This window comes from Homo sapiens, chromosome 8 (assembly GCF_000001405.40).
Source record: "Homo sapiens chromosome 8, GRCh38.p14 Primary Assembly".
NCBI classification, from domain to species: Eukaryota; Metazoa; Chordata; class Mammalia; order Primates; family Hominidae; genus Homo; species Homo sapiens.
This window is the reverse complement of record NC_000008.11, coordinates 12,331,010-12,350,150: the sequence shown is the minus strand read 5'-3', so window position 1 is coordinate 12,350,150 and position 19,141 is coordinate 12,331,010. Positions and strand designations below refer to the sequence as shown.

The window sequence follows — 19,141 nt, the reverse complement described above, 5'->3', positions numbered from 1 at the left end:
AGGTAGAAGAGCATGAGCAGGGCAGGAGAGGGCTCTTCCCCTACCCACTAGAAATGTCAGGTGATGGCCTGTCAATTATCACATTGCCTCTCTAAAAATGATAATTAGGCAGCACCAAAGAGAGGCCATTTCCTGATGGTCTACACCTGTTAACATCAAAAATGTTAGTTAAATGCAGACTTCAGGAAGAAGCAACTTCTTGGGCATGCATGTTAAGAGACAAAAATGGCAAAGCATAATCTTCCGGGGGCACACTCCACCGGAAAAGGAAAGAAAGCTTCAGATGGACATGCATATAACTCCCTAAACACACCGTGCATGCTCAATTTCAAAGGGTAAGGAAAGCACTGTGCAAGCCGGAAACGCTCCCTAAAGTTAGAATCATGGGAAAGAGGAAAACCCATGGCAGGATCAAGGTTAAAGGCTCTTCTCTTTTCTTTCTTGGACATTCAGGCATCTGTTCGGGTCTCTTCCAAGAGAATTTTCCTCTCCTTCCTGTTCTAAAGCCTTTTTAAATAAACTTCCACTCCTGCTCTGAAACTTACCGCTCAGTCTCTTTTTCTGCTGTATGCCCTTCAGTCAAATTATTTCTTCTGAGGAGGCAAGGACTGAAGTTGCTTATGGACCCATGCAGATACGCTGCCAGAAACTGGAATCTCTTCTACTGGTAACAGTACCATTGTAAGGGAATGAGGCCAGTTCACATCTCAGTGCTTGGAGAACTCACCAGAAATAAAAAGTTGGAGGATGCAGTGAACTTATCTACCTTCCAAGGCAAGTCCCACAAGCAAGCAGCAAGACTCTCTTTCCCCAAGGTCGTATAGCAAAGACATGGAATCAACCTAGATGCCCATCAATGTTACAGTGGATAGAGAAAATACAGTATATGTACACCATGGAATACTACACAACCATAAAAAAATTATGTCCTTTGCACCAACATGGATGCAGCTGGAGGCCATTATTCTAACATAATGCAGGAAGAGAAAACCAAATACCATATGTTCTTAGTTATAAGTGAGAACAAAGCGTTGGTTACACACGGATGTAAAGATCGGAACAACAGATACTGGGGACTACTAGAGGGGGAAGGGAAGGTGGGGACAAAGGCCTTAAAAACTGTCTATTGGGTATTATGTTTTCTATCTGGGTTACAAGATCATCCATACTCCAAGCCTCAGCATCACACAATGTGCCAATGTAAAAACCTGCACATGCATCTCCTGAATCTAAAATAAAAGTTGAATTCTTTTTTTAAATGCTCAAAGATCTGGCTAACACGGTGAAACTCTGTCTCCACTAAAAAAAGAAAAAAAAAATTACAAAAAATTAGCTGGGCATGGTGGTGGGTGCCTGTAGTCCCAGCTACTTGGGAGGCTGAGGCACGAGAATGGTGTGAATCTGGGAGGCGGAGCTTGCAGTGAGCCGAGATCACGCCACTGCACTCCAGCCTGGGTGACAGAGCGAGACTCCATCTCAAAAAAATAATAATAATAATAAAAATGAGCAAAGATCTGAGTAGACATTTCCCAGAAGAACAGATACAAATGGCCAACAAATATGTGAAAATATTCTTACCATCTCTAATCATCAGGGGGATGCAGATAAAAACCACCATGAAATATCACCTGATACCTCTTAGAATAGCTATTATCAAAAAGATGTATAACAAGTATTAGCGAGGATGTGGAGAAAAGATAACCCTTGTATACTTGCGGTGGAAATACAAATTACTATGTCCATTTCAGATAACAGTATGAAGGTTTCTCAAAAATTTTTTAAATAAAACTACCTGCTGATGAGGCTGTTGAGATATAAGAACACTTTTACACTGTTGGTGGGAATGCAATTTAGTTCAACTATTGTGGAAGACAGTATGGTGATTCCTCAAAGACCTACAACCAGAAATACCACTTGACCCAGCAATCCCATTACTGGGTATATACCCAAAGGAATATAAATCATTCTATTATAAAGATACATGCACACATATGTTCATTGCAGCACTATTCACAATACCAAAGACATGGAATCAACCCGAATGTCCATCAGTGACAGACTGGATAAAGAAAATGTGGTACGTATACACCATGGAATACTATGCAGCCATAAAAAGGAATGAGATCATGTTCTTTGCAGGATCATGAATGGAGATGGAAGCCATTATCCTCAGCAAACTAACCCACGAACAGAAAACCAAACACTTCGCTTCTAACTTACAAGTGGGAGCAGAACGGTGAGAACACATGGATATTAGGAGGGGAACAACACACACTGGGGCCTGTTGGGAGGCAGGTGGAGGGAGAGTATCAGGATAAATGGCTAATACATATATGCAATGGAATATTATTCAGTGTTACATAATAATGAAATGCTGTCATTTGTGACAACATGGATGGACTTGGAGGGCATTACGTTATATGAAATAGGCCAACCACAGAATGACAATTACTATATGATTTCACTTGTATTTGAAATCTAAAATCGACAAACTCACAAAAGCAGAGAGTAGAATGGTGGTTGCCAGGTGCCGTGGTGCTGGGGAAATGGGTAGATGTGGTTAGAGCACAAAGTTTCAGATATACCACGTAAGTAAGTTCTGGAGGTCTCGTTTACAGCATAGTGCTTACAGCTAAGAATACTGTATTGCATACTTAAAATTTGCTAAAAGGGTAGATTTTGTATTCTTACCAATATTTCTTACCAAAAAAAATAATAATAAAGGGGGGGGGACTTAGGGAGGTGAAGGATATGGTTATAATCTTGATGGTAGTGATGTGTTCATGGTGTATACTTATCCCCAAGCTCACTGAGATGTACACCTTAAATATGTACAGCTTTTTAAATGTCATCATAGCTCAACAAAGTCGGTGAAAAAAAAACAAGAGGGGTTGGTTAAAAACCTTAAAAGGAGGGGTAGATGTTCCCTTGTTTTTCTCTCTTGGCTTTTTTCCTTCCTGCTGCCTGGAATTCAAAAATGGTAAGTGGGAATTTAGCAGCCAAACTAGAGCCTCTTCTAAAGTATAGCAGAACAGAGAGCTGGAAGGGGCCTGCATCCCTAATGAATTTGGCAAGTATCTGTACTAGCCATGGTAGGTAGAACTATAGATTTAAGTGAGGGAGAAACAAACTTCTGCCTTGTTTAAGCCACTTTGTTCAGACATTAATTTTATATACATATAGAGAACATATGCTCCTTTATGCGTAGGAAAAATGTTTATGCCATATGGTCCATGATGGGTGTTCAACAATGTAGGATGAGGCTGATTATGATGACAATGGTGACAAATAGCATGAAATAATAAGCAATGAAAAAAAGGTGGCCTCATAGTTGTGTATGGTTACTTTATTTAAAGATTCTGCTGCTAATATCATTCAATGTATTTGTATGCTGGTGGGAGTTTTATTAGATGTAGACTAAGAAAGTTTACATTACTTAATGAAAAATACTTGACCAATTTTTTTTAAAAAAATAAAAATATCATGAGATGGAACTAAGCATCTGTATTGCAAAGTAACTCTCCCAGTTGATTTTCTGCATAGTAATGATTGAGAATCCCCTGATCTAGATCCAACAGATCTCGACCTTTATAGGTGCTATCAAGGAAGCACCTAAGGAAGACAATTTTCCTGACTATATCCATACCTCCAGTTAGTAATAGATCTAGAGATCTAGAACCCAAATCCAGACCTCCTGCCTCCATGTGCGGTGGTCTTTCCCTGTTGTTTTGTTCCACTTGGTGAAGAGGATTTGAGAATAAATAGCCACATGATTCAACTCCCTCCTCAGTTCTGAGGAATATAGCCTTGTCCTAGCAAGCAAGAAGTTCATACAGCAGTGGATGAGACAAATATACATTCACTAATCTAACACACAAGGCAGTAAGTACTGTAACATAAACAAAGCACTTTGGAGTTTCAGACCAGGAGCAAGTGGGGTGATTAATTCTTAGCAGGGCTAGTAAAGTCTGGGAAGTGTTCACTAAAAAAATGTCTGGTCATTAATGAAACCAACTGATTTCGCAACACAGTCTAATTTATTGTAACAATATAAATGGTTGTTTGTTCATAACCTTTCATCTTTTGCCAAAATGTTTGTAGCTTATGTCCCCATTTAACAAGGTTTTCTGGCCAAAACTGTGCACCCACATCATTCTAATGAACTGGCTGTCCAATAAAAAAAAGGACTCTCAGTCTTCCCATAAAAGCAATTTTGCGTGCATAGAACACCTCTATCTGTGACTATCCCTAATGAGGTACAGAAAGACCCTTCTTATCCAAACAGAGACATTCCACTGGTGCTAGACAGCCACAGACGGAAGTTTTCTCTGCCTCCTGGAAATGAAGCCCAACTTTCTTCTTTCTTCAGCCGTGAGGATTGCTGTCCTCCTCTTCACCATTTTCTTCTTTATGAGCCAAGTTCTACCAGGTAACAAAATAAACTTGGTAAGAGTAGAGTGCCTAACACCTTACAGGGATTCAATACTCAAAGAGAAATCACCATCACCTGTGACCAGAAAAGGGGGTCTCATAGGAAATCTGGAAGACACATTGGCTGAGAGGCCTGCAGCCATCTAATTCGTTAATTCTCCATAGCAACTCAGTTAAATGAAGTCAATGGTGTTTCAAGTCTTTGAAACCCTCTTATTCCATCTCCATATTAGGCAAGTTTACTAGCAGTTACTAGACCGCAAAAATTAAAAATCAGGCATTATTCTACTAAATTTTTGTCTCCAAAGCTCCTCTAGTTTCTTTCGGCAAAAGTTAGTTATCCTAAGAACTGGCATAAGAGCTATGCCAAAGGTGTGGTAGGCTCAGAAAGAAGGGATTGGTGGAAGAAGTCTCTTTGAAAATATTATTATAATCTAAGAAATCTTTAACCTATTGCTCCCCAATACTGTTGGTCCCTGGGGCTTGACTTTTCCCCTTAAGGCTCCATCTCCATCCCTGGCTTTCCCTCTTCCTTCTCAGCATCTAGTCTTGTAGAATTTAAACACAGGAACCAGGGATGACCCCACACCAGAGCATAGCCTACTGCATTCAGCATGCGAACATTAATCACAGGTATAAGGCCCCTTGCACAGACATGCTTTGGAGAAGTGTGTATAGGACTTCTTGGATTTGCCCAAGGTGGTTACCAGACACCCAAAGTAGATTCGAAAATTTTCTGGAACTCCTGAACATGTGTATTCAAGGATGAATAAGCAACTTATTGCCTCTATTTTTGCTGTTTTATAGAGAAAAAAAATAAGGCCCTGGAAACTGAAGTGCTTTTCCCAACAGTGGGGTAAATGTCAGAGTCAACAATTTGTTTTAATATCCTGGCTTTCCCTATACATCCCACCCTAGAGTTCTGTTGTGCTGTTCCTTTGTTTGACTTTCTAAAGCCTGAAAAAAGGTGATACCATATCCAATCATATTAACTCGGTAGCACACAACATCCGGGACTGACATAAGATTATTATCCCTGTGGCATTACTGAATTCCTGTCTCACTAGTACTTGTTAAATAGTCACCCTGGCTAAATACATGGGTTTGATTTTTTTTAATTAGTTAAAAATATTTTAAAATATGTGTCTTACATATATAACCCCAGAAAATCAATTCTTTTAATCAAGGTTTAAAAATTCCAAATTTGGATAAACAAATTTTTTTGTTTGTTTGTTTTCACTGTCACTCAATAAAAATAGAAGCAACTAATTGGATAGACCAGCACAGGCGGAAGCACGACTCACAGTCAAAAATGGGATGCAACAAGACTGGAGAAGAAAACACAGGATGGTGCTAAAGAATGCAGCCTAATGAAAGGTGGCATCTCCTCTGGATGTCCTTAGGTAGACATTGAAGCAGAACTGCCAACTTTTTGTAGAAGGCTAGAGAGGAGAGGAGGACACAGAGAGAGGGCAAGAGTGGAAAACAGAATGAGGCTCAGAATACCAAGCCTTAGTGCTCTCCCTATCATCTGCCTCACTCGATCACTGGGTAATCTTGGGCAAGTTTCTTCCTTTCCATCAGCTTATTTCCTCATCTTTAAGGTAAGTGACTAGACAAGACATCCTATGTTCATTGTAACTCTATCTTTTGTTCCTGAAGCAAATGGCTGGAAAAGACATAGTGTCCACAATATGCAATACACAAGGTTCACAAGCAAAGAACAAATGAAAACGAAAGATTTTTAAAATCCCTAATGTTATTTGAATTCTTGCAGATGAACTATGGTACATAATAATTTTAAAAAGCCTTTTGTAATTTCAATTTTTAAAAATAATTTCAACCTTTATTTTAGATTCAGGGAGTGCATGTGTGATTTGTTACATGGGTATATTGTGTGATATTGAGGTTTGGGGTATGAATAACTCTGTCACGCAAGTAGGGTGTACCCAAAGGGTACCTTTTCAGACTTTACTCCCTCTCCCTCCCCTCCTGGTAAGACCCAATCTCTCTTGTTCCCATTTTTATGTCCATGTGCACTCATTGCTCGGCTCCCACTTATAACTGAGAATATGTGGCATTTGGCTTCCTGTTCCTGAGCTAATTTGCTTAGAATAAAGTCCTCCAGCTGCATCCATGTTGCTGAAAAGGACACAATTTGGTCCTTTTTATGGATGCATAGTATTCCGTGACATATATGTACTACATTTTCTTTATTCAATCCACTGTTGATGAACACCTAGTTTGATTCCATACCTTCACTACTGTGAATACCACTGTGATGAACATACAAATTTAGGTCTTTTTACAAGACTGATTTACTTTCCTTTGGATATACACCCAGTAGTGAGATTAGTGGGTCAAATGGTAGTTCTGTATTAAGTTTCTTGAAAAGTGGTTTGAAAATATAATGCTCAATAGAATCAGGTATAGTAAAATAGTACACATGATTCAAAGACCTGTGAACCGAGAGTAACAACAAATTTCCACACAAACATATTGCAAGTTAGAAAATAGCTGTATTTTAATCAATTATTCCACAATCATTTACTGAATAGCTATTATAAGACAAGACTTTAATCAGATTCTGGAATATACATACAGAGGAGAATAAGATATGATTCCTGCCCTCAAGAAATTCATTATCAAGAATTGAGGTCAGATGGGAAAACGCCACCCATAGTAGAATGCAAGAAGTACTACCACAGAGGGATGTCCAAGAGTGATTTATCACATATCACAAGACAGGTCAGTGGTTCATCCTCTACACTATACTAATCTCTTATGACTCTTCCAGCTGCAAAGGGCCAATTTTAGCACAAGGCCAGTGGGCTTGGGTACTACTATACTTAGTAGCTGACTACTTACAGATAAAAGGAAGAGATGGAAAGCTCAGGGATCAAAAAACTCAGATTTCAGCTTGTTTCTACCAAGTGGTCAACATTTAGAATTACCATTGTCTTCAGAAAGGCATGACCTTTATTTCCCAATTTGCCTTATAGATATAAATATGATGTTGCATATATTTGGTCTTCACATCAATCCACTAACTGCTTTGTGACCATTGAAAAGTTAAATGGAATCTAATACATTTGGATTTCAGTTCAATTAAATAGGCATTTATTGAATGTTTATTAAAATTGCTGTACTGATTGAAAGCTATTCTAGAATTGGCTTTTGTGTTCCAGAATAGAAAAAAAAAAAAGGTGCTGGTTTTTATACTTCTCTTATTGCCAAGAAGTTGTCATGGAAAAGGTGCTCTGTGTTACATACAAAGACTGCTCAGAATTAAAACACTTTTCAAACTAAATACCTCAGTGTGTGTGGCCTATCCCCAGAGCAGTGATATTTTCGGACATAAATGAAATACTATTCAATGTTTTCAACAAGTATAGTTTTTAAGCCTTTAAGAAGACCTTGAATGTTTCACTCTTAATATATGCAATGGTTTCTAAAGAAAAATTGCAACCTCAAAGACCAGTGCCAGAGATATAAGTAGTGTGTGAAGTCTCAGGGGGTAACAAGTACTGGCACAGATATATTTGTGTATTAAACACATAGGAATATTGTTCCCTTCAACAGGAAAAATATCCTCTCTAACAATTAAAGTATATTATCTTTTAGGTCTAAATTTCAGTTCTACTTTTGAAAGATACATCTGTTATAATCTATCATATAGAGTGTGTGTGTGTGTGTGTGTGTGTGTGTGTGTGTGTGTGTAGGAGTAAAAAGAGATGAGCCAAAAGAGATTTTCTTCTCTTTCACTCCAGGAAAATCCATAGTACAAGACATTATATTTTTTTGAAAGGCTGAAATCTCCCATCAGTGTTGGAAGATAATAAGGAAGAAATAAACTGAAACTTGCATGCTCTAGAACTTGTAAAGGGGAGCGGGCTACTCACCTCCAGCCTTTTGTCATGTAGGTGCACCCAACATTCTCAGATTTTTCAAGAACACCAAAAAATCCAAATTTTTGTGTGACAGCAGATTTTTAAGTGTTTAAGAAATCAAATAACACACACACACACACAAATCCACACAAGATTATTTTCAGGCACTGCCCCCTACGTCCATGTAATTCAATACAAAGTAAAGACTGATGAATGCTTACAATAACCCTCTTCTGCTGTAGCCAGGGGCAAATTCAAGGAGATCTGTGAACGTCCAAATGGCTCCTGTCAGGACTTTTGCCTCGAAACAGAAATCCATGTAGGGAGATGTTTAAATAGCCGACCCTGCTGCCTGCCTCTGGAGCATCAACCAAGAATTGAGAGCACTACACACAAAAAGGACTGAAGCCTGTTGTTTTCTGGTGGTTTTAGGTTCTCTTTTTTCTCTCTCCCTGTCCCTATCTCCCTGTCTCCCGTTCCCTCTCTCCATTTTTCTCACAGGGATTTTTATTGAATCCTCAAAAAAGAATAAACCAAAACCAACCAGCACAAAACCTCTTTTAAAAGTTTATATTACTGGCTGGGTGCGGTGACTCATGCCTGTAATCCTAGCACTTTGGGAGGCCAAGCTGGGTGGATCGTGAGGTCAGGAGATCAAGACCATTCTGGCCAACATGGTGAAACCCTGTCTCTTTTAAAAATACAAAAATTTAGCCAGGCATGGTGGCGGGCACCTGTAATCCCAGCTACGCAGGAGGCTGAAGCAGGAGAATCGTTTGAACCCATGAGGTGGAGGCTGCAGTGAGCCGAGATCCCGACACTGCACTCCAGCCTGGGTGACAGAGCAAGACACTGTCTCAAAAAAAAAATAAAGAAAGAAAGAAAGAAAGAAATAAGTTTATATGCCATGTTATGACTTGATTACTGTTTGGTTTCCAGTATCCTTCTATCCCATCTAGATGAGCTCTTAGTTGAAAATGACTTACAGGAGGGTGGGGGAACTTTCAACCATACCTATTGATTTGTCTAGCACTGTAACCCTTCACCCTGCATGTGGGAAGACCACTCCCATTTTTTACAGGGAAAATGCGCCATCCTATTCCATGCAGCCTTGCAGGGGTCTGTCTCTCCCTGATAAAGGTGCACCACATATGAAAATTGCACAATCACGTCAACCAGACTTCACCAGAAATCTAAATTATAAAAAGAGTTGCACTCAGAATAAAGGCAATTTCTTCAGCACCCTTTTCGGAGGCAAATCCCTGGGTCTGTACATGCATGCCTGGCCAAGATTCAGGGAATTCCTTCAGTTCCCAGCTTTCACTGGGCATAATCATTCAGCATTTTCTGCCATCTTTTAAAACACTGTATTGGCTTCCTATGGCTGCTATCACAAATTACAACAAACTTAGTGGCTTAAAGCAACACAAATGCATTATCTGACAGTTCTATAGGCTGCAGGTTTCAGATGGATCTCTGTGGGCCAACATCAAGGTGTTAGCAGGGCTGAGCTTTCTTCTGGAAGCTCTGCAGTTTTCTTCCTGCACCTTTATCCCAGCAATGACAGGCTACTCCTGGGAACCATAGCTTCCTTCATCCATTTTCAAAGCCAGCAATGGAGCATTGAGTCCTCACATTCCATCATTCTGAATTCATCTTCTCCCCACTCTTCCATTTTTTAGGACTCATGATTACGTTGGGCCCACCTGGATAATCTAAGATAATCTCCCTATTTTAAGGTCAGCTGATTAACAGCCTTAATTTCACATGAAACCTCAATTCCCCTTTGCCTTACAAGGTGGCACATTCACAGGACCCAGGAGTTAGGATGTGGATAGCTTTGGCAGGAGACAGAGGGGACATTATTCTGCCTACAACAGCCACTGAGTGCTTTTACCACCTGTCACAATTTTGCTCCATTTAGACACAATTTTAGTGGCTTTGTGTGAAGAGATTCTCATTCATAGAGTTTTCTTTTTTGTGTAAAGTAGTGAGGGGCCTCCCCTTGGTCATTGAAAGAGTATAGAATCAAGATATTTAAAAGTATATTAGCTGGATTTTATTTTTCACTATGACTGATTTGGCCAAGAAACAATGTTAAGTTATGTCACATGGACTACTCGAAATCTCAAAAAGTTCAAAACATTGGGTTCAAAATCTCAGAGACTGAGATATATTCCAACCAACTCAACCCTGTGGAAGTGCCAAGTTTTCCTCAGTGCCACTCTTGAAACCGCATCACCAACTGACCCTTTAATATATTTTTGCACTATATAACATTTATTTCTTAGAGTAAGTGCTTCCCTAGAAAAGAAGCAGTTTGGACATGTATATTAAAGCCGTCACCTAGAATATTATCTTCTCATTGCTAGGAGGTGGCCTTCAAGATGGCTGACTAGAGGTACCAGGCACTGTGTCCTCCCAAAGAAAGACCAAAACAGCAAGTAGATAATCATACCTTGAAGAGGGCATGAAAGAGGGCACTAGAATTCAGCAGCAAAGTGACGAGGAATCTCTGAGGCATGGAAGGAAAGGAAAATGAAGCAGCAGCCCAGCCAGAATCAGCTTAAAGCCAGGACAGGCTCTGCAGTGTGGTGAAAAGGTAAAAAAGAGAGCCCCAGTGGTCCATATTCCCACTGTGGACACTGCAATCCTAGCCAAGGGACGGTCTCTCAGCCCTCGCAGGCCCTGAGACTACTATAGGGAGCTGCCTGGAGTGTATGTGATGGTCATTGTCCCAGAGAAGGAGTTGGCACTGGATCATCTGCACCTGCCCCCAGACACAGGCAGCTGTGGCACAATGCCAATTTGAGAGCCCAGCCCCCAAAAGACTACATCCTGCCCTGGGGCCCAACAGCCCCTGCATCTCCACATCTCTGGACCCTCAGTGACATTCCCTCATGTCCATCCAGAGGCCTGCAGAGTCACAATACCAGCTGAACTCACCAGTGTAGCTTGGTCCCCATCACTCTAGCCTACACAGTGTCCTACACTCCAGGGAACTGGCAGTGCCATTCACTAGAGAGGCTGCCCCCAGAACAAAGGGAGCTGAAGCAGGCACTCTTCACAAGTGGAGAGTCACCTTCCCAGGACCACTGACACTGACAGCAATCCTGACCCCCAGGAGCAGGGCCACTGCACACCTGCAGGCATCCTCAGGGGACCTGGGGACTCACCTGCCTGAGCACTATTCCAGGGCCAGAGCACAGGCCCATCCCACCCATTGCTGTCACTACCACTACCCAAGGTCGTTGTCCAGGACGCTGGGGATCAACCCACACTGCTGTCTGTCATTGGCACCTGTGCATGCCTTCTTGTGACCTAAGTATGAGCCCACCCAGCCTGGTGGTGCCTGTGCACATTGTCTGGGAGCCTGGGGATTAATCCACCATGCCTATCACCATCAAGTACCTGTGTGTCTCCTGAGAGCCTAAGGATAGGACTTCCCAGCCTGCCATCACGGCTGCCACCAATGCCCACATATTTGCACCAGGTGAAAGCCTGAGGACTACTCTGTCCATCATGTTGCCATGACTGTTGGTGTCTGCACATGCCATCTGGGGTCACAAGAGTTGACCTGCTATGACTACAGCACAGGGTCTTGAGGGCATGCCTATCTCCCTAGCTCACCACTGTCACTGCTGGCACTTGAGAAAGCCACCTGACTCACGCCTGTAATCCCAGCACTTTGGAAGGCTGAAGGGGGCAGATCACCTGAGGTCGGGAGTTCAAGACCAGCCTGACCAACATGGAGAAACTCCATCTCTACTAAAAAAAAAAAAACAAAAAAAAAAAAATACAAAATTAGCCGGGCATGGAGGTGCATGCCTGTAATCCCAGCTACTCGGGAGGCTGAGGCAGGAGAATTGCTTGAACCTGGGAGGCGGAGGTTGCAGTGAGCTGAGAACACGCCATTGCACACCAGCCTGGGCAACAGAGCAAAACTTCATCTCAAAAAAAAAAAAAAAAGCCACCTGAAGGCCCAAGGATGGCCTGCCTGAAACTTCAACCACTGGTGCCCACGTTCATCACCCACAAGTTCAAAGACCAATGCAACTGGTGCCCAAGGACCAAACTGCCTGGCCTGTCTTTCCCCAGCAAAATCTCACCACAGCCTCCATTAACAATGAAGGCTAAGACACTGAGGAGCTCACAGACATCAGTGATGCTGATTATAGCTGAAGAAATCATAGAAGTATAAACTACTGAACCAACTCAGAACTAAAGGCAAAGTGTCTTACTGATTCAACAGTATAGATACAGCTACAGAAGTCAGTCTTTTACTACCAAAGCCAATCTATAAAATTAGAAGAAGCAACTGTTTTACCAGATATTCAAATATCAATGTAAGGACATAAGAAACATTAAAGAGCAAGGAAACATAGCATCCCTGAAGGAAAACCAATAATTCTCCAGCAACAGATTTCAATCAAACAAATCCATAAAATGAGTGAAAAGGAATTTAACAGCTGAAATTGAATAATTCAATAAATAAAATAAATAATACAATTTGAGAACCTCAACAATAGACTAGATTAAGAAGATGAAAGAATTTCTAAACATAAAGATCGGTCTTCATATGCAGGATTAAATGGATTAAAGACTTAAGTGTGAAACACAAAACTATAAAAACCCTGGAAGACAACCTAGGCAATACCATTCAGGACATAGGCACGGGCGAAAATTTTATAACAATGACACCAAAAGCAATTGTGACAAAAGCAAAAATTGACGAATGGGATGTAATTAAACTAAGGAGCTTCTGGGCAGCAAAAGAAACTATTAACAGAGCAAAAAGACAACCTGCAGAATGGGAGAAAACTTTTGCAAGCTATGCATTCCACAAAGATCCAATATACAGCATCTACAAGGAACTTAAACAAATTTACAAAAAAAAAAAACTTTAAAAATAGGCAAAAACATGATCAGACACTTCTCAAAAGAAGACATACATGCTGCCAACAATCATATGAAAAAAAAAGCTCAAGGGTCATGAGGGATTATGACAGACAGGAGGCAGAACTAGATGGCAGCTCTGGACAGAGCAGCATGCGGAGGCTTGCGTTGTGAATTTTAGCTCCAGATGGACTGCAAGAGCAGACCAGCAATCCTGACAGGACCCACAGACCCTCCGAAGGAAGCAGACTGCTCTTGCAGGACCTGGGAGACACCCCAAATACTTTAAGTCCCCTAACCACGGAAATGGGAAAGGGAGACCCTCGTCTCATGAACACACACCCCCACTGGAGAAGCTGAAAGTCTGTTTGTGGGAGAAGTTCGTGACTTTACCTGGAGCTGAGTCAAGTTAGAGAGCCGAGCTGAGCAACATACAGGAGTAGAGGAAGTAGCACAAAGGCACTGGAAGGCCGCTGGATCCCCAAGTAGCCCATTCCTGCCTGGCACCGCAGACATCCATCGGGGGGGTGGCCAGAGGAGTAGGGGGTAAAACTTCACAGGGAGAAGAACCTCTCTAGCTGAACTTTGTAAAAAATTGAATGGGGCTGGAAGCCTCCTGGCCAGAACTCGGGGGAGGGCGTGAATCAGGCTTGCAGACTTCACAGGCGGGGTAAGAACTGAAGCCCATTTCTTTGTCAGTCGGGAGGCAGAAAGCCTCAGGTAAGTTTTCAAGCCAGATTCGCCTTCGGCCTGGAAACAGACTCCGGGCTATCACAAGGGGCATTGTGGGAGTGAGACCAGCCTTTCAGTGTGCATGGAAGCTAGCTTTCCCCAACTTCCCTGACAACCTGCATGACTCAGCAGAGGCAGTCATAATCCTTCTAGGTACACAACTCCACTGACCTGGGAATCTCACCTCCATCCCCCACAGCAGCCAAAGCAAGACCCACCCAAGGAGAGTCTGAGCTCAGGCACGCCTAGCCCCACCCCCACCTGATGGTCCTTCCATATCCACCCTGGTAGCAGAAGACAAAGAACATATGATCTTTGGAGTTCTGGAGCCCTGCCCACCACTGGTCCCTCTCCACAGTGTCCGGAATTGGTGGGTTCTTGGTCTCGCTGAGTTTAAGAATGAAGCCGCAGACCCTCCTGGTGAGTGTTAACAATTCTTAAAGATGGTGTGTCCAGAGTTGCTTATTCCTCCCAGTGGGTTCATGGTCTGGCTGGCCTCAGAAGTGAAGTTGCAGACCTTCGCAGTGAGTGTTACAGCGCTTAAAGGCGGCACGAAACCAAAGAGTGAGCAGCAGCAAGCTATGTTGCAAAAAGCGAAAGAACAAACTTCCCACAGCATGGAAGGGGACCCAAGCCTGTTGAGCTGTGGGCTCCGGTGGCCTGCTTTTATTCCCTTGTCTGGCCCCCATCCATATCCTGCTGATTGGTCCATTTTACAGAGAGCTGATTGGTCCGTTTTGACAGAGTGCTGACTGGTGTATTTACAAACCTTTAGCTAGACAGAGTGCTGATTGGTGCATTTAAAATCCTTTAGCTGGACACAAAAGTTCTTCAAGTCCCCCACCAGATTAGCTAGACCCAGAGCGCTGATTGGTGCATTTACAAAGTTTTAGCTAGACACAGAGTGCTGATTGGTGCTTTTACAATCATTTAGCTAGACAGAAAAGTTCTCCAAGTCCCCAGCGGGCCCAGAAGCCCAGCCGGCTTCACCTCTTGATGGCACTCGCCACACAGGACTTTGCAGCACCCAGCCCTGGCACTCCAGCAGCCTAGAGAGAGCTCATCCCCCGGTCAAGCCCAGCAGGCACCGGCCAGCCGCCTCAAGTGTGGGGCCCACCGAGCCCGCGCCCACGCAGAACCCGCGCCAGCCCACAAGGGCCACACGCAGCCCCGGCTCCCACCACGGCCTCTCCCTCCACACCCTGCGAGCAGAGGGAGCCGGCTCTGGCCTTGACCAGCCCCAGAGAGGGACCCCCACAGTGCAGTGGCGGGCTGAAGGGCTCCTCGAGTGCAACCAGAGTGGACGCCGAGGCCAAGGAGGCACTGAGAGCAAGCGAGGGTTGCTAGCATGTTGTCATCTCTCAACACTACTACAGCGGATGCTTTCTGGAAAGCGCCATCTCCCAGCAGGAGGCCCATCAGCACAAAAAATAGAGCCTTAAACCACCAAAATGGTGGAAGCAGTTTGAAAAACAGGTTGGCAGTTTTCAAAGAATTAAAAATAGAGTTAGCATATAACCCAGCAATTCCACTCTTAGGTATATACTTAAGAAAAAAGTTTGTACGTAAGAGTTGAAAAATTCTCAGTGAATTCTTATAGCAGCATTATTCATAATAGTAAAAAAGCTGAAATAACCCAAATGCCCATCAGCTGATAAATATATAAACACATTGTGGTATATTTATATAATACAGTATTATTTATTGATAGAAGGAATGAAATAGCTATATATCCTACAACGTGGATGACCCCCATGGAGTCATCAGAACACCACCATCATTCTTCAGAGTTAGTAAAAACAATTCTAAAATTCATATGGAACCAAAAAAGAGCCCACATATCCAAAGCAAGACAAAGCAATAAGAACAAATCTGGAGGCATCACACTACCTGATTTCAAAGTATGCTATAAGATCATAGTCACCAAAACAGTGTGGTACCAGAAAAATATATACATCAAAATATGTGCACTTTAATAACATAGCATCAAATTTATAAAACAAAAATTGAGCAACCTACAAGGAAAAATGAAAAAATTCCAAACTATAGTGGGAGATTATAACTTATTTTTCTTAGTCATTCAAAGAAAAAGAAGACTTTAAACATCAATAATACATTGGATGTTAATAAAAATTTACTATTTTTGTGAAGGGAATAATTACAAATAACTTCATTCAACAACTACAGAATACAGTTTTAATAGGACATATTGAATATGCACAAATATTGACCATATAACGATTTGTTCTACATGCCAAATCTTAACAAAAGTCAAATAACTGACACTCTACAGAAAGTGTTCATTTATCACACTGATATGAAATTATAAGAAACTGTTCTAAAACCCAGTTAATTAAAGAAAAAAATCTTAGTGAAAAAATAAATATATTGAAATTAAAATATTACTTATTAAAACTTTTTGGATTCCATTGGTATAATATTAAAGAGGAAATTCAGGGTCATAATTGCTAATATTAGAAAATAATAATGGTGAGTCTTTGGCAATACCATCATGAACACTCCTGATCTCATCTGATCTCAGAAGAAAATAATAATAGAAAACAGAAACATCTCAGTCTTTGCAGTATGAATTACAAAGAAAATAAAATGCACAAATAAAAGTAACAGGAAAAAAGGAAGCATCTTTAAATATGCAAAACCATTAACGAAACTTGACAAAATTAACTCAAGATGAAACAGAAAATAAGAATGTTTTCCTGAATTAATAAAGCAACTAATTCTGTAATCAATAACCTTCCAAAAAAGAGGGCACTTAACTTATATTTTCAACCACATTTCAGAAATTTAAAAAATTGTAATTATATCCAACTCTTCTAAGAAAAAAAGAAAAAGGGACACTCCAAAACATCGTATTTATCAAAACAATTTTTATTAAGATAATATTCACACAATGAAATATTCACTATTTCAACCATTTTGATTTGTTTAATTTAATAGATGTTAGTATATTTACAATGTTGTGCAGCCATCACCACTATTTGATTCCAAAACCTTTCCATCACCCCAAAAAGAAACTCCTTCTCTAATCCCCAGAAACTAATAATTTGTTTTCTATCTTTATAGATTTGACTATTCTGGACAGTACATAACTGGAATTATAAAATATATACCCATTTGTGTCTGCCTTCCATAACTTAACATAATTTTTCAAGGTCATCCAAGTTGTAGGATATATAGCTATTTCATTCCTTCTATCAATAAATAATACTGTGTTATATAAATATACCACATTGTGTTTATATATTTATCAGCTGATGGGCATTTGGGTTATTTCAGGTTTTTTTACTATTATGAATAATGCTGCTATGAGAATTCATTGAGAATTTTTCAACTCTTAGGTAGAAACTATTTTCTTAAGTATATACCTAAGAGTAGAATTGCTGGGTTATATGGTGACTCTATTTTTAATTCTTTAAGAAATGCCAACCTGTTTTTCAAACTACCTCCACCATTTTATGTTTCCATCAGAAATGTATGAGAATCCAATTTCTCCACATTTTCCACAACACTTGTTATTTTCCATCTTTCTTGATGATAGTTATTCCACTCGATATCAAATGGTATCTCATTGTGGTTTTGATTTTCATTTCCCTTTCATGTGCTTATAGCCCACTTAAATATCTTTTTCAAAAAACTATTCAAATCTTTTGATCATTTCTTAGATCATTTGTGTTTTATTGTCGTTGTTGCTGCTGCTGATTTGTAGTAGTTCTTTATATATTCTGGATATTAATCCAATTTTCAAATATTTTTCTCATATTCATTGGGCTTTTTTCCCCTTCCTTGGCAGTATCCTTTAATGCACTCAAATTTTTAACTTAAATGAAGTCCAATTTAACTATTTTTTGTGGCTATGTTTTTGGTGTCATATTTAAGAAAGCATTGCCTAATCTAAGGTCACAAATATTTGTACCATTTTTTCCTAAACATTTACAATTTTAGTTATCACATTAAGGTCTTTGGTCAGTTTTGAATTAATTCTCATATATGGCATGAGGTAGACAAATTTTTCCTTTTACATGTGGATATCCAGTTGTCCCAGCACCATTTGTTGAAGACTATTCGTTCCTCATTAAATGGTCTTGGCACCCTTGTTGAAAATCAATTGCATGTAGATGAATGGGTTTATTTCTGAACTTTAAATTTGATTTTATCAGTCTATATGTCTATTCTTACACCATTATCACACTGTTCAGATTATTGTGACTTTGAGGTAAGTTTTGAAATTGAGAAATTTGAGTGCTCCCACTTTGTTCTTCTATTTCAAAATTGTTTTGGATATTTAATCGTCTTTTCATTTCTATATAAATTTTAGAATAATTTTTGTCAATTTCTGCAAAAAGACAGAATTTTGATAGGGGTTGCATTAAATCTGTAAATCAATTTGGGAAGTATTTTCAGTTAAATTATATTAAATCTTCCAACTCATGAGCATGAGAAATCTTTCCATTCACTTGGGTCTTCTTTTTCTTTCAAAAATATTTTGTAGACTCAGCGGACAAGTCTTACACTTGCTTCATTGCACTATTTCCTATGTATTTAATGTTTTATGCTATTGTAAGTATCATTGTTTTCTTCATTTAACTTCCAAGTTGTTCATTCCTATTACAGAAAAGAAATGCAGCTGATTTTTGCATATTGATCTTGTATCTTCAAACTTTGTTGAAATTGTTTATTAGCCCTAATAGATTTTTGTGAATTCTTTTGAGTATTCTACATGTAATATCATTTCATGGCTTAATGGAGATAATAATGCTTCTTCCTTTCCTCCGAATGCCTTTAGTTTCTTCTTAGCCTAATTGCCTTTGCTAGAACTTTCAGCACATTGTTGAACGGAAGTGTCAAGGACAGACATTCTTTTCTTGTTCCTGTTTTTAGGAGAAAACCTTTTAGTCTTTCACTATTAGGTATGATGTTAGCTACACTTTTCTTATCGATGCTCGTTATCAGGGTGAGAAAATTGTCTTGGATTTATGATTTCTTGAGTGTCATCATGAAAGGACACTAGATTTTGTCAAATAATTGTTTATGTCTTTTGAGACGCTTGTGGCTTTTTTTCCCTTTATTCTACTAATATTGATTGATTTTGCAGATTTAAAAAAACTTCTTTTTTTTCTTCTTTTTTTTTTTTTTTTGAGACAGGGTCTTGCTGTGTCACCCAGGCTGGAGGG

General features: G+C 40.2%; 2 pseudogenes; both read left to right on the top strand.

Moving 5' to 3' along the window:
- DEFB108E (defensin beta 108E (pseudogene)) lies at positions 4,373-8,875 on the top strand (annotated as a pseudogene).
- On the top strand, positions 16,458-16,507 carry RNA5SP254 (RNA, 5S ribosomal pseudogene 254; annotated as a pseudogene).